Source organism: Homo sapiens, chromosome 5 (assembly GCF_000001405.40).
Source record: "Homo sapiens chromosome 5, GRCh38.p14 Primary Assembly".
Lineage (NCBI taxonomy): Eukaryota > Metazoa > Chordata > Mammalia > Primates > Hominidae > Homo > Homo sapiens.
In genome coordinates, this window is record NC_000005.10 from 170,104,305 (window position 1) to 170,118,057 (window position 13,753).

At 50.4% G+C, this 13,753-nt stretch overlaps 1 protein-coding gene across 3 annotated transcripts, besides 1 other annotated feature; it reads left to right on the forward strand.

Annotated features, from left to right (window-relative positions):
• On the forward strand, positions 1,593-5,433 carry FOXI1 (forkhead box I1). 3 transcript variants are annotated; one of them, XR_941092.2, is made up of 3 exons: positions 1,593-2,227; positions 2,613-2,757; positions 3,745-5,430. XR_941092.2 is itself a non-coding variant. In NM_144769.4 (2 exons), the coding sequence occupies exons 1-2, from the start codon at positions 1,654-1,656 to the stop codon at positions 4,305-4,307; spliced, it is 852 nt and encodes a 283-aa protein (NP_658982.1). In that variant the 5' UTR covers positions 1,593-1,653; the 3' UTR covers positions 4,308-5,433. The 3 variants fall into 3 exon arrangements, 2 of the variants coding, with proteins under 2 accessions (NP_658982.1, NP_036320.2); NM_144769.4 differs by lacking the exon at positions 2,613-2,757 and having other exon boundaries at positions 4,030-5,433; NM_012188.5 differs by lacking the exon at positions 2,613-2,757.
• Positions 5,133-5,686: an enhancer, noted in NCBI's record as "NANOG hESC enhancer chr5:169536441-169536994 (GRCh37/hg19 assembly coordinates)". NCBI's record gives its function as "activates a minimal SCP1, AML or CMV promoter by ChIP-STARR-seq in naive H9 embryonic stem cells {active_cell/tissue: H9 hESC(naive)}" and the evidence as "EXISTENCE:reporter gene assay evidence [ECO:0000049][PMID:30033119]".

Here is a 13,753-nt window from a genome sequence, read left to right on the forward strand (position 1 = left end):
TTTTCTCCCATCTGCTTCATCACAGAGAGAAGTCTCAGCTGCTACCAGAACCTGGTCAGGGGCCAGCGCCTACCCTCTGAGTAGGGAGACCACCACCCATGGCCCAAGCTGAGGGCCTGACCTGGGGCACCAGGGGAGGCTGGGACAAGATGGAGGATGGAGCCCAGATAGGAGAGGAGCTGGCTGAGCCACAGGGAGAAGCCAGCAGGGGCTGCAGCTCCTGCTTCTGGAGCCTGAGGGAGAGAGAGAGAGGACGCCTGGGGCATGGTGAGTCGGGCGCTCTCCTCGTGCCCTGGCTGCCTCCATGCCAGGGGCCTCTGCGAGCTGAAACATGAAAGGTCTTTGGATCAGAGAGGAGCTGGGAGCCTGCTTGCCCTGCAGCTGGAAAGAAACTTGAATTGTTCAAGTTCTCTCACTTTTCCCTGAAGACTGATTCCCCATTTTCCCCTTTTGCTATTATTTTTAAGAGCCTTGCTGCTCTCCAGGCAAATTCTCAGGTTCTCTGCCCGTCTGCAGCATGTATGCATATGCGTGTGTGTGTGCGTGCGTGTGTGCGCGTGCGTGCGTGGGCGTGTGCGCGTGTGTGGGCGTGCGCGTGTGCGTGTGCGCGTGTGTGCGTGTGCGCGTACGCGTGTGTGCGTGTATGTGTGTGTTGGGGGAGGCTGCGGTGCCTATGACTGGTTGCCCCCTTGAACCCCACCAGAAGCCAGCCCAGGCCCCTCTGCGCCCTCTTCTGAGTCTCCAGGGCCGGTTCTCTCCTGGCAACTCCAGAAAGTGCCTCCTCACCTCAAAAGACCAAGAAACAGGGTTTCTGATAAAGTGTCCCACCCAGTCCCGGCTGGGGCAGTTGGTTAGAGAATGAGGGGACATTGGGGGGAAGAGGAGGGAGAATGAGGGGATGGGAAGAGAGGCGCAGAGAAAATGAGAGGTGGAGAGAAAGGGACAGAGTGAAAGAGAAGGAGAAAGGGGAGAAGCCGGGAAGACAATGAGAATGGAAGCGAGAGATGGAAGTGGAAAGAAGAACTGGAAGCCTAGAGACAGAGGGAGAGAGGGAGAGAGGGAGGGGGAGAGAGAGAGAGAGAGAGAGAGAACGGGAATGAGCAGCTGTGATGTGGCCAGATCAGTTCATAGAAAAGAAACACAGTTCAGAGCAGAAGGGAGGAAAGAAAATAAGAAGGAAAGAAACAGAGAATGAGATGCAGAGAGGAGAGGAGGGAGAGAGAGAAGGAAACCGAGGTGGGTAGAAAAATGTGACGAAAGGGAAGGACAGAAAAAAAAATGAGAGAAGTAAGACAGAATAAAGGAGAAAAAGAAGAAGGGAATCATGAGGATGGTGAGAAAAGACAGGAGAGAAAGCCGGGAGAGAGGATAGAGGGGCGTTCTCGCTGCGCTGCGTGTCAGCTCTGGTAAGCCGTCTAGCATGTCATTAGTGGGGACCTGAGGCGCCAGCGGGAAAGTCCCCTCCCCGTGGGCTGGAGGCTGAGGGAGGGCGGGCCCTGGGCTGGGATCCACAGGCAGGTGGCCGCCCCTGGGTGGGGCCGCCCGGCCAAGCCCTAGGGGTATAAGTGGGAGGCCGGGCCTGCTGAGCACCTGTCAGGGGCAGCTCCGGGGTGCAGGTGCCAGGCAGGTGGCTCCGGCCAGCCCAGCCCCAGCATGAGCTCCTTCGACCTGCCGGCGCCCTCCCCACCTCGCTGCAGCCCCCAGTTCCCCAGCATCGGCCAGGAGCCCCCCGAGATGAACCTCTACTATGAGAACTTCTTCCACCCACAGGGCGTGCCCAGCCCTCAGCGGCCCTCCTTCGAGGGGGGCGGCGAGTATGGGGCCACCCCCAACCCCTACCTCTGGTTCAACGGGCCCACCATGACCCCGCCACCCTACCTGCCCGGCCCCAACGCCAGCCCCTTCCTGCCCCAGGCCTATGGAGTGCAGAGGCCGCTGCTGCCCAGCGTGTCGGGGCTTGGGGGGAGCGACCTGGGCTGGCTGCCCATCCCCTCGCAGGAGGAGCTGATGAAGCTGGTGCGGCCACCCTATTCCTACTCGGCTCTCATCGCCATGGCCATCCACGGGGCACCCGACAAGCGCCTCACTCTCAGCCAGATCTACCAGTACGTGGCCGACAACTTCCCCTTCTACAACAAGAGCAAGGCCGGCTGGCAGAACTCCATCCGCCACAACCTGTCGCTCAACGACTGCTTCAAGAAGGTGCCCCGCGACGAGGACGACCCGGGTAAGGAGGCTTTGAGTGTGGGGGGTGTCCCCAAGGAAGACTCACTTCCTTCCTCCCCAAGACCCCATTCTAGAAAGTTCTGACTAGGGCTGTGCCCCCCAAGACTGGGGGATGCTACCAGGCAGGACAGAGGGGAGCTCAGCAGTGAAGGAGAGCATGGGCCTGGGGGAAGATTTGGGTTTCAGCCCTGGCTGTGCTCCTGCCCAGTCAGTGACCTCTGGCAGGTTAGACCTCAGAGCCTCAGTTCCCTCATCGGAAAACCAGGGATAGTGACAGCATCTGCTTTGCAGGCTGCAGTGGAGGTGATGAGATAATGTACACAAGGTTTTAGGTGTTATCAAGCGCTTAATCGCCTGCAGTAATTACGATTCATCTGCATCTCCAGCACCCAGCACATAGAAAGTCTTTGGTGAATGAATGACTGGACCAACCAAAGCCCAAGGGCATCCCAAGACTGCCAGGAAGAGGATCTGACCTGGGTTAAACAGCCACTAATGGCCCATTTTGCTGCCTGCCTTGTTTCTACTTAGGTAACCTCCTTTAACCCGAAGACACCCCTGCAGGGTAGCTCTTATGAAACCCATTCTACAGATTAGGAAAATAACACTCAGAGGTGACACAGAATGAAGTGATAGTGATGGAGCTTGAATTTGAACTCAGTTTTCTCTAACATCAGAAATTGTGAGCTTTTCCTTTTCAACGATGCATTTCTAAAACTCAGAGACCTGCAGAGAGGCATGTATTAAATACTCATGCATCCATTTCCCAGAATTAAAGTCCACTTTTGTTCCACCGCAGGAAGCCAAGGTATAGCTCAAAGGAACCCCAACTCTGCCCCATTTGAGGGTGGCAAACACCAGGCCTGTTTGTCCCCAGAAGAGGGCAAGTGTCCTGTCCAAGGACTGCCATCACCCTCAGGCTGAGAGACGGTAGCAGGAAGAGTTCAGGCCTTCCCTCGGGAAGGTACCTCCCAGCTGCAACGCTCCTTTCCATATCCGGTGTGGATCCTTTCTCAGTGGGCCTGAGGAAGACAGGGGCAATGGGCCCACTTTTCAGACTAGAAAACAGGTTCTTCCAAAGCCCCTCAGTCAGTGAGGAGCAAAGCCAGGACTCAAGTCTGTCTTCAGACTCCAAGCCTACGGCTATTAGGGAGTCCCAGAGTTTTCCTGAGTCTTCTTTTCCTTCAGCATTGAAAGCCCTCCAACCCCCAACCCCCAAATCCCTCAGCATCCCTGCTCCCAGTTCTTCATCCTTCTTAAAGAGACCTACATTGCAAACTCCTTAATGCTCATGCCTCTCGGCTGCAGTCCCAAAGGGCCCTGTCATGGGCTGCTTAATTAAAGATGGAGGTGGTGTGGTTCATCAGTTGATGGAATTCCTCCATTTCTCAGTCCCTGCCTGTCGGTCTCTGTCTTCCTGCATCTGTCACCTTGGCTTTTAGTTTATGACAATAAGGAGGAACAGAAGCAAAGCATTTTGTCCACCTCTCTATTTACCCCCTTTCACTTTTGTATCAGGCAAAGGGAATTACTGGACCCTGGACCCCAACTGTGAGAAAATGTTCGACAATGGAAATTTCCGCAGGAAAAGGAAGAGAAAATCAGATGTTTCCTCTAGCACAGCCTCCTTGGCCTTAGAGAAGACAGAGAGCAGTCTCCCGGTGGACAGCCCCAAGACCACGGAGCCTCAGGACATCTTGGATGGAGCCTCACCAGGGGGCACCACCAGCTCCCCAGAGAAGCGGCCCTCCCCTCCCCCATCAGGCGCCCCTTGCCTTAACAGCTTCCTTTCCTCTATGACAGCCTATGTGAGCGGGGGGAGCCCCACGAGCCACCCCTTGGTCACACCAGGACTGAGCCCTGAGCCCAGTGACAAGACGGGGCAGAACTCACTGACCTTCAACTCCTTCTCCCCGCTCACCAACCTCAGCAACCACAGCGGTGGGGGTGACTGGGCGAACCCCATGCCCACCAACATGCTCAGCTATGGAGGATCTGTGCTCAGCCAATTCAGCCCTCACTTCTACAACAGTGTCAACACCAGTGGTGTCCTCTACCCCAGGGAGGGCACCGAGGTCTAGGTACAGAACAGCTCCTGAGCCAGGTGGACATGCCAGAGAGAAAAGCAGTAGAGGTCCTCCATGCCAGCCCCACGGTGGTCCATGACTGCGGAACTGCCCAGACATAAGCAGGAGCCTCCGAGGAATCCACCCTCTTTCTAGAACACTGGTTAAGGCTTCTGTTTATCACACATAGGCCCACACACAGACTCACCAACTTTGCAATAGAAATACTGGTGCCTGCAGAGCAGCACTAACAGTGGCAGGTGCTGTACTAGGCTCTGTACTGGCCACACTTACTATTGACAGTCACCCCGTAAGGTTCACAAACCACCCCATTGAACAGATGAGGAACTGAGGCTCAAGGAGGTTAAGTAACATTTCCAGGGTTATATAAACTAGTAAATGGCAGAGCTAAGAGTCAAATCCAGGTCTATGTGATCCTCAGAGATTGGAGGCCGGGATGGAGAATTGGTTGAGTAGCCAAGGAAGGTCAGTGTGAAAAGCTTGCTATGGCAAATATAGCGAAATCTCTCCACTGCCTTCTGTCCACCAACATTTAGTGCCAGCCTAGGCACAACTTGTCCTGGTCCAAGTCCTTATTCTGCTTGCCCCAACTTACCTGCAGACACTCCTTTTGCTACCACTCAAGGAAGGAAGTCACCAGTGGCCTTAGTGCAGGAAACTCAGCCCTGGTGGCCCTGCAGAACAATGCATCTGACATGTGCGATGCATCCCCATGGAGAGACAGCATTGCTCCCCAGCCCTCCAGAAACCTTGAGCAGATCCAGGGATCAGTGAGAGGAGTGGTGTGTACCCCTAAATCCTCCCACCCCAGCACTGCCCATCTGTAAAATCTTGTAAAGCCCAGTTTCCTGTGTGCATGTCATGGACCAGTGAGCTGGAGATGGCTGAATCTTCCAAGAGAAACAAGGTTGGATAAGCGCTTCCTTTTTTTTAGCCCAGGAGAGGTGGATGTTTGTCTGAGAAAACAATGGCCTCAAGGGAGGGGCCTTGGGCCCACCCTCACAGGGGGTCTCTGTGTGATCTCTTGGGATTTCTCCTTGTTTTTGTGAGTACCTGGGAAGTGTTGTTTGTTTTCTTATTTTCTTTTTAATTAAAAAACAAACAAACATGTGGTGCAGAAGCGTGGGACTTCCTTATGAGATTTTCTGTCTCTCGGCTGCCTGGTGTGTTCAACAGGGGGGCCAACTGCTGCCTGGAGCTGAAGGCATTTGGGACAGGAGGCAGAGAAAGAATGCATATCAAGACTCTTTTCACCTCTTCACTGGCGTGGAGCCCAGACAAAAGCCCCCAAGGAAAAGAGGGGAGTCTGGGAAGGGTGGGTAGGGTCATGGAAGGAATCCATTGGTACTGAACACACAATATGGACTTGGCGTATCCCAGTCTTTACAGTTCATGCAAACCTCCTAACTGTGCTATGATCATTTAATTCTAACAACCCCGCGAAAAGGGGGATACTAGTCTCATTATACAGATGAGAAAACTGAGGGTCCGAGTGGTTGAGAGATTCGCGTGAAGTCCACATCCAGTCCACACCTAGATCTGTCTGACCCTGCAGCTCATCATGCTTCAGTGTAGTCTCAGATGCAACCAATGCTAGAGGCAGTAACAACAGTACTACAGGCTGCGATTCACTGAGGGCTGTGGGCAGTTCCTGGGTCAAGTGCTGTGTAGGTGGGACATTTTTTATCCTTACAGCAGCCTATAAGTGTGTATGCTGGTGATCCCCTGGGGTCCCTGACACAATGCATGCTGCAGGACTTGTTCATTGAAGCTGGATTTTTTGTTAGGAGTTCTCTCTTTGGGTGTGCACAGAGAGGGCTTAAACCAGGAATAGCTGGCCACTTGCATCGCTGCCTACTCAAACCCTGGGGGCTCTCTTTCCTTGTGACAGAGTGACAGAGAGGAGCTGGTAAATAACAACAACAACAATGGCAATGATTATTGATGATGATGATGATGATGATGATGATAATGATGGTGATGATGATGTTGATGGTGATGATGATGGTAAGAGCATTCATCATGGGTTGACCATGTGCAAGGCACTGCATTATTGCATGTAATCCTCAAAATAATCCAGTGCACTCAATACCATTATTTTCATTGTGTAGGTAAGAAAACTGAGGCCTGGGGAGAGTCATACCTTGATAGAAAGCAGCCATAGCCAGGACTCAAGCAGATCCATTGATGCCGTGGCTAAAGTGCTTCTCCACAGAATCTAGCAATGGGGAGCCCAGGACTTACCACAGGACAGCAAAATCATGACAACCAAGAGTAAAAGAAGCAGGGCTGCCTGAGAACCCCTCAGGCCCTTTCCCTGGGAGTCCTTTTCTGCAGAGAGACTTCTGGCAGATTCCAGGTGGCCTAGGAAAGTAAAAGGATGGGACGTGGTGTCAGACTGTCAGACTGTTACAAAACACAAGATAGGCTTGCCCCTTTCTGCAGAGAAAGGAAGCCTACAGCTCAGAGGGAAGGCACTCCACAAATGTCACCAGGACAGTGAGGTCAGAGTCAGAATTAAAATGCAAGTCCCTGAAGCCCAGACTAGGATTTTTTATCACACTAGATCCCTCTGTCACCAAATTTGCCCAAACAAACCCTGAAACCCCACCCTCTCCATTGATCAGCTCACTGCCTGCTCTTCATCTCCTACTCCTTCCCCGAGGTGGGTCTGCAATGGGTGAGGGCCTGGGCCAGGAAGGAGGTGTGAAGGGGCCCTGGGAGAGCCCAAGCCAACCCAGAGGGGAGCCGGCTATTTAGAACCAAGGCCCACAACCTCAAGTCTCCAGTCTTCTTCAGCACAAAATTCAATGACGGGCACAAGCAGAAAGGAGAAAGTGTTTAGGGCTCTGACAACACAAAGACCCTGCCAACTCTTGCCTGTGGCCCTGCAGGGAGTTCCTGGTAGTAGCGCCAGGAGCTCATGGGAAGCATGACTCTGCAAGTACCCAGAAGGGCACAGCTGAGGGGAGTCGCAGGCCAAGAAGGGGGTCTCCCAGCAGCTTCCCTGGCGGCTGCCTGTCCCTCTTTTTGTTCTCTTCCTCTGAAAAGAAATAAGAGCCGGAGAGAGGGACAGAGGGAGGAGAAGGTGAGATGGAAGAAGGGAGGGGTAAAGGACTGGTTATTTACCAAGCACTTAATCCTGTGTGCCGTGCTGTGCATGGACACTCCATGATTAGCCTCCTGCTCTTTGGCTCCACGTTGAAGCCATGGTGTCCAGCATCCATAAAGGGTCTGAGAAAAGGGCCACCTGGAAGGCTGCCTGGAGGAGATGCGACTGGAGCTGAAGGATGGCGAAAGTGAGCTGATTCAAACCACTAGTTTATACTCTCACCTTCCAACAGCCAAACTCTAATCCCCCCCAAACCCTGAGTTAGCGTGCCTCCATTTCCAAGTGACGCGGAGGTTGGGGGATGTATGCCTCGAAGCAGAATATATATGTGTAATATAGGTACATTTCATAATCCCATTTATTTTAATAGGCAAAGTTGCAAGAGGAAAAGTTGGGAAATACTATACATAAAATACTAGCAGTCATTGTCTGGTGCCTAATAAAATATTAGGTGTGGTTTTTGGTCATTGTGTTTATCTCTGTGTACAGTGGACATATTGTCATCCCAGGCCACTGCAGCTACATACCACTGCTTCCAATGACAGGGGTGCAAGAGACCTGCCATGTTGTCCCATGATCCCCCCGCCAGCACAGATGACTGATCCTGAGGGACCCCTGACCCAAGCTGAGCTCTTTCTGCTATGGCTGAGGAATGAGTTCCCTTAGCACAGACATGGCTCTTAGGCAGCCACCATTGAAAGAAAGGGGAATCAATGTGAGAACAACAACTTATCTAAAACGTGAGAGTCAAGGCTGGGCGTGGTGGCTCACACCTGTAATCCCAGCACTTTGGGAGGCCGAGGCAGGAGGATCATTTGAGTCCAGGAATTTGAGACCAGCCTGGGCAACACAATGAAGCCCCATCTCTACAAAAAATTTAAAAAGATAGCCAGGTGTGGTGGCGTGTGCCTGTAGTCTCAGCTACTCAGGAGGCTGAGGTGGGAGGATCACCTGAGCCCAGGAGGCAGAGGTTGCAGTGAGCTGAGATTGTGCCACTGTACTCCAGCCTGGGCAACAGAGTGAGACTCTGTCTCAAAAAAAATAAAATAAAATAAAACGTGAGAGTCAGAAAAACAAATGTTCAGACTTGCTGAAAAGCTAATGCCAAGCTGGTGAGAGTGTTGTGGGAGTTTAAAGGTGGCAGAAGCTCTCCTCGGAGTTCCTGGAGAGTCCAGCAGAGATCAAGCACAAGACTGGAAAGGAAGGGGAGTTTGAGGAGAGAGCGGAGGGGCTGCAGGGAAGTAGCCAGCATTTATGAGCCCCCTGCCATGCACCAGGCCCTCGGGACTGGAGCATGCAGTTATCTCCTGTCATTTTCACAACGCTGTGGGTGCTGGGGAGTATTTTGTCCATTTGACCTATGCAGAAACTGGGACACCCAGGGTTTAAGCAGCCTCTCAAGATCTCAGACCACAGTCTACATGCTTTAAATATCAGGCTCCCCCACTCCCCTGTAAATGGGCACTGTGAAGCCTGCCATCAAGAGAACCATCAGTCTGCTTACTAGAGAGAGCACAGGGACATAGCATCCATATCAGGAAAGCTGTGTCGGCCAGCACATCACAGGAGGCCCAAGCTTTGTCTCTGTGGAAGGCTTAGCTCAGCCCCCTGCCCTATACACTGACTTCCTGCCTGCCCCCTGCTTTCCTTCAGCCCCGAAGGAGAGAGACCTGGGCTGCTTTCTCTGCTGACCTGCCTTTTGATATTCTCCTTAGGAGCTGCTGTGAAAACACAATGAAATTGGCCTTTGTCTCTGACTCTCTCTATTCAGTGTTTCTTTGAGGTTCTTGTGGGGCGGAAATATTGCAATGCTGAAGGCACCATTTGCTTCCTTTTACTTGTGGGCCCCCATGTGACCCCTTGGACATATGCTCCTCCCTTGCAGAAGCCATTGGAATCCCAAGCAGAAGGCCAAAATGCAGGGTCTGTCATGAAAGTGGTATAACTATTTGGGGGGAACTCTCCTGCTTTTCTTTCAGTTCAGGCAGATGAGGTAACAGCAGCATTTAACGTTTATTGCATGCTTAGGATGAACTATGTACTTCCCTTTTTTTTTTTTTTTTTTTTTTTTTTTTGAGACAGGGTCTTGCTCCATCACCCAGGCTGGACTGCAGTGGCATGATCTTGGCTCATTGCAAACTCTGCCTCCCAGGTTCAAGCGATTCTCCTGCCTCAGCCTCCCGAGTAACTGGCATGCCACCATGCCTGGCTAATTTGTGTATTTTTAGTAGAGATGGGGTTTCGCCATTTTGGCCAGGCTGGTCTCAAACTCCTGACCTCAGGTGATCTGCCCACCTCGGCCTCCCAGACTGCTGGTATTACAGGTGTGAGCCACCTTGCCAGGCCTATGTACTTCCTATAGATTGCTTAACAATCTCAATGCTACTAAAGCTGACACTATCATTATTTGTATTTGGTATGGAAGTAAACCAGTATTCAGAGACATTGAGTAACTTTTCCAAGACCATGCAGCTATCACCTGAGGTAGACCTCAAACACAGGTATCCCCAGCTCCAGAGCCTGTGCTCTTAACCCAGATGCTAGGAGAAAACCCCTGAACTGGGAATTTGGAGACAGTATCCCCACAGGGAGACAATTCCTTTTCCACAGATTTTGGAACAATCAAATGTGGGATAATGCTATCAGGAAGATGTTGCATCAGCTCGGGGCACCATCATCTCTGCATTCCTGATCAGCGACAGCCTCCAGGCTGGTCTCTCTGCCTCCAGCCTCTGCCTCCGCACTACAGAGTGTGAACTTCCTAAGGGACAGAGCTGGTCACGCCTGCCTCTGCCCTCCTCAGAGCCCCTCACTGGCCCCTTATCCTTCGGGTCCACACTAATGTGCATGGCTCTCGAAGCCCGTGCTCTGGCATCATCTCTCTGGCTAGGGCCTCAGGCTTAGCATCAGACTCAATTGGATTCAGATCCCCTCTACCTGCCCAGAGGAGTCAATGTAAGCAGGAAGTGGCCTCAAGAGATGTCCTGCATATTCCTGTATATTAGTCGGTTTTCACACTGCTAATGAAGACATACCGGAGACTGGGTAATTTATAAAGGAAAGAGGTTTAATTGACTCACAGTTCCACATGGCTGGGGAGGCCTAACATCATGGCGGGAGAGCAAGGGATATCTTACATGGCAGCAGGCAAGAGAGAGCTTGTGCAGGGGAACTCCCCTTTAAAAAACCATCAGATCTGGTGAGACTTATTCACTATCATGAGAACAGCATGGGAAAGACCCACTCCCATGATTCGATTACCTCCCACCAGATCCCTCTAACAACACATGGGAGTTGTGGGAGCTACAATTTAAGATGAGATTTGGGTGGGGACACAGCCAAATCATATTAGCATGTTTTATTTTTTTTTCCCCAATCATGCTGTATTCTTAGCGTAATTTTAAAATACTTAAAACAAGATCATGAGAAAATAAATGCCCAGATTCTAGCACCAAAATTCAGAAGGGGGGGCTATGAGAATGAGGGGCGGGGAGAAGCCTTCCTGAGAGTTTCTAAGAGGCATGGAGGCAGTGGGGATAGTGATTAGCTCTGGGGGAAGAAGAGGCTACTGGCTGGAAAAGGGCATGAGGTAGGGTTGGTAATCACCTACTGTTTTATCTGAGTGCTGGTCACACAGATGTGTTCACTTTAGGAAAATGTATTGAGATTACACTTGTGATTTCTGCATTTTTACATACGCACATTAACTCAGTCATATGCTGATAAATGTTTAACAATGGGTTTGCTGGAGAAAAAAGGGTCCCCCGGATTTGTAATGTCTGCCCATTTCCGTGGTGTAAATACTCCCTTCACAACTGATTTCAAGCTTCCCATGCACTGTAACTGAAGACAGAGTTGGGAAGATACGTGCAGTAGCACAACATTAAATCATATTTCCACCATATACACACAATAGGTGTAAATAACACCCAGAGCATAGAAAATAATCAAATGTAGTAAAATAATCAAGAAGCAATGAGTTTTAAATATTTATTTATTACCTTTCTTTATAATATAATTGTAACTAGAAGTTTATTTAATTTTTAATAAAGCTGTGCTTAACATAAAACTCCTGAAAAGTTAACAGTCAGCTGTTGTGAGCCAGTTTGAGCAGGCTCCAGGACACTATTGGTATAAACACCCATAATTTCTGTCCCCAGACTCCCCTCTCCCTAAAATACTAGTTGTCACACTCTCCTGCTATTGCCATCTTCATCTCTGGGCCTTTCCAGGGGCTGTTTTCTCTGCCAGGTCTCCTTTCTTCTTCCCCAAGGCCTTCCTTCCTTACCCTTGCCTTCAATTCTCATCTAAGAAGTTACTTGCTCCAGGAAGCCATTCCTGGCTAGCAAAGGTCCAATCATGTGCGTTCTTACAGTATGGGACACTTACCCATGTGTTGCCTTTTTCTCTTTACTTGTCTGGCTTTCTGTAGACTGAGTTCTGAGGGCAGGAACCAGGTGTCAGTGGCTCCCTTGGCACTTGGCACAGTCCCTGGTATAGCGAATGTGCTTGGAGAACATTGAATGGATAGATGGATGGATGGATGGATGGATGGATGGATGGATGGATGCATGAGTGGGTGGGTGGATGGATGGATTGATGTATGGATGGATGGATGGTTGGATGGATACAATTTCCTACAAGTCATTAATCTTTGCACCTATTTATCCCCAGAAGAAATTCCTAAGACCTTAGCACTTCAGCCCCCATCCCTGCAGACTTTGGTCTAGCACTCCTAATTCTGTCTAAGGCACTGGGGTGGGTGGCACTCTCAAGACTAACCTTGGTCACTCCCCAGTTACTCCCAGCTATTCTTTGTGATGCTCAAGTGCCCCTTTGTCCAATGATAACTGGGTTTAACCCTGATTCAGAGAGAGGATCAAAGACAAAAACAATAAAAAGCTACTGATTACTGTCCTGATCCCAGGCCCTGGCTGGTTTAGGTAAAGTTATGTTGCAATGGGAAGGAGAAGGATTGCCCTATTTTTAGAGCCACAACAAAAAATTCATACTGTAACAAACTGCCAGCCTTTGGAAGAAAAAAAAAATTAAATATTTATTTACTACCTTTGTTTATAATATAATTTATTTAACTATAAGTTTATTTAATTTTTAATAACAGCTGTGCTTAACATAAAGCTCCTGAAAAGCTAACAATCAGCTGTTTTGAGCCAGTTTGAGCAAGCTCCAGGACACCGTTGGTATAAACTCTCTGTCCCCAGACTCCCCTCTCCCTAAATAAGAATAAGAACCCAGGTTTTGGATCTAGACAGAGCAAGGTTCAAATCCTGATTTGGCTTTTTATCTGCTGGAGACCTTGGGCCTGTGACATCACCCCTCTGAGCTTCCAATTCATCATATATTAAATGGAGATAAAGAATGTAGCCAATGTCAGGATTTTGATGAGCATCAATTAGGATATGTGGAAAAAGCCTGCCAAGCAGCTTGCCCAGAGGAAATGCCTCTTAATTATCAATTTGATGCAAATCAATAAGCCATTGATCTCTCACTGGGTCAATGTTATAGATTCTTCTTGGAAAAAAAATTAAAAGTATCTTCAGAAACGAAGGCTCAATCACACAACACCTGGGAGAACTACAGCTTACAGGGGTAATGAGGTCTCTCCCTGCCCTCTACCCAACACACCTGTCCTAACCTGACCTCCCTGAGAGCTCCATGATTTGGTAACAAGCACATGGTGCCTTCCCAGAAATCAAAAGACTTGGCTTCTCCCTCCTCCCATGCTCATGCTCCCAAACTCCCAAACAGAGAGGCGGTCCTAGGAGTGGATAACATGGCGGGACAGGGGGAGGGGCAGTAGTAATCTACATGGTGGGGTCTGGAAGTGCCAGGAAGTCATGCTACACCACACACACACACACACACACACACACACACTCACCATGTGTCCATAGATGCCAGAAGCGATTCATTTTCACAGGGAATAAGAACTTACACCCATGGTGAGAGCAGGACACAGTTTTTCAATCCCTCAGGAGTGAAGCAAAATGGCTTCCTGGAATCTGGAACTCAGGCCATGACTTCAAAGGCGAGGAAACTGAATCTCACAAAGTGAAGAGGCCTAGGCCAGAGTCTCATTGTTAATGCCAGACATACAATCAGGTACAAATGTGCCAGCTTCCCAAGGGGCCTGGGGGTTTTGTACTTCAACACTGCCCATGGAGAGTGTTCAACAGACCCCCTCTGGGGAGCAGGTTTGAATGTGGGCAGGAGCAGAAGATGGGTGGAGGTGATGGCAGGGAATGGCGGTGGGGGAAGGTAGAGGTGCTGATGGGGACTGAATGGGTGACCCAGTGAACAGCTGGGG

Coding starts and splice junctions, on each gene's coding strand:
- FOXI1 (NM_012188.5), top strand. CDS start 1,654: ATGAGCTCCTTCGACCTGCCGGCGCCCTCCCCACCTCGCTGCAGCCCC. Junction 2,228..3,744: donor CCGCGACGAGGACGACCCGG/GTAAGGAGGCTT, acceptor CTTTTGTATCAG/GCAAAGGGAATTACTGGACC.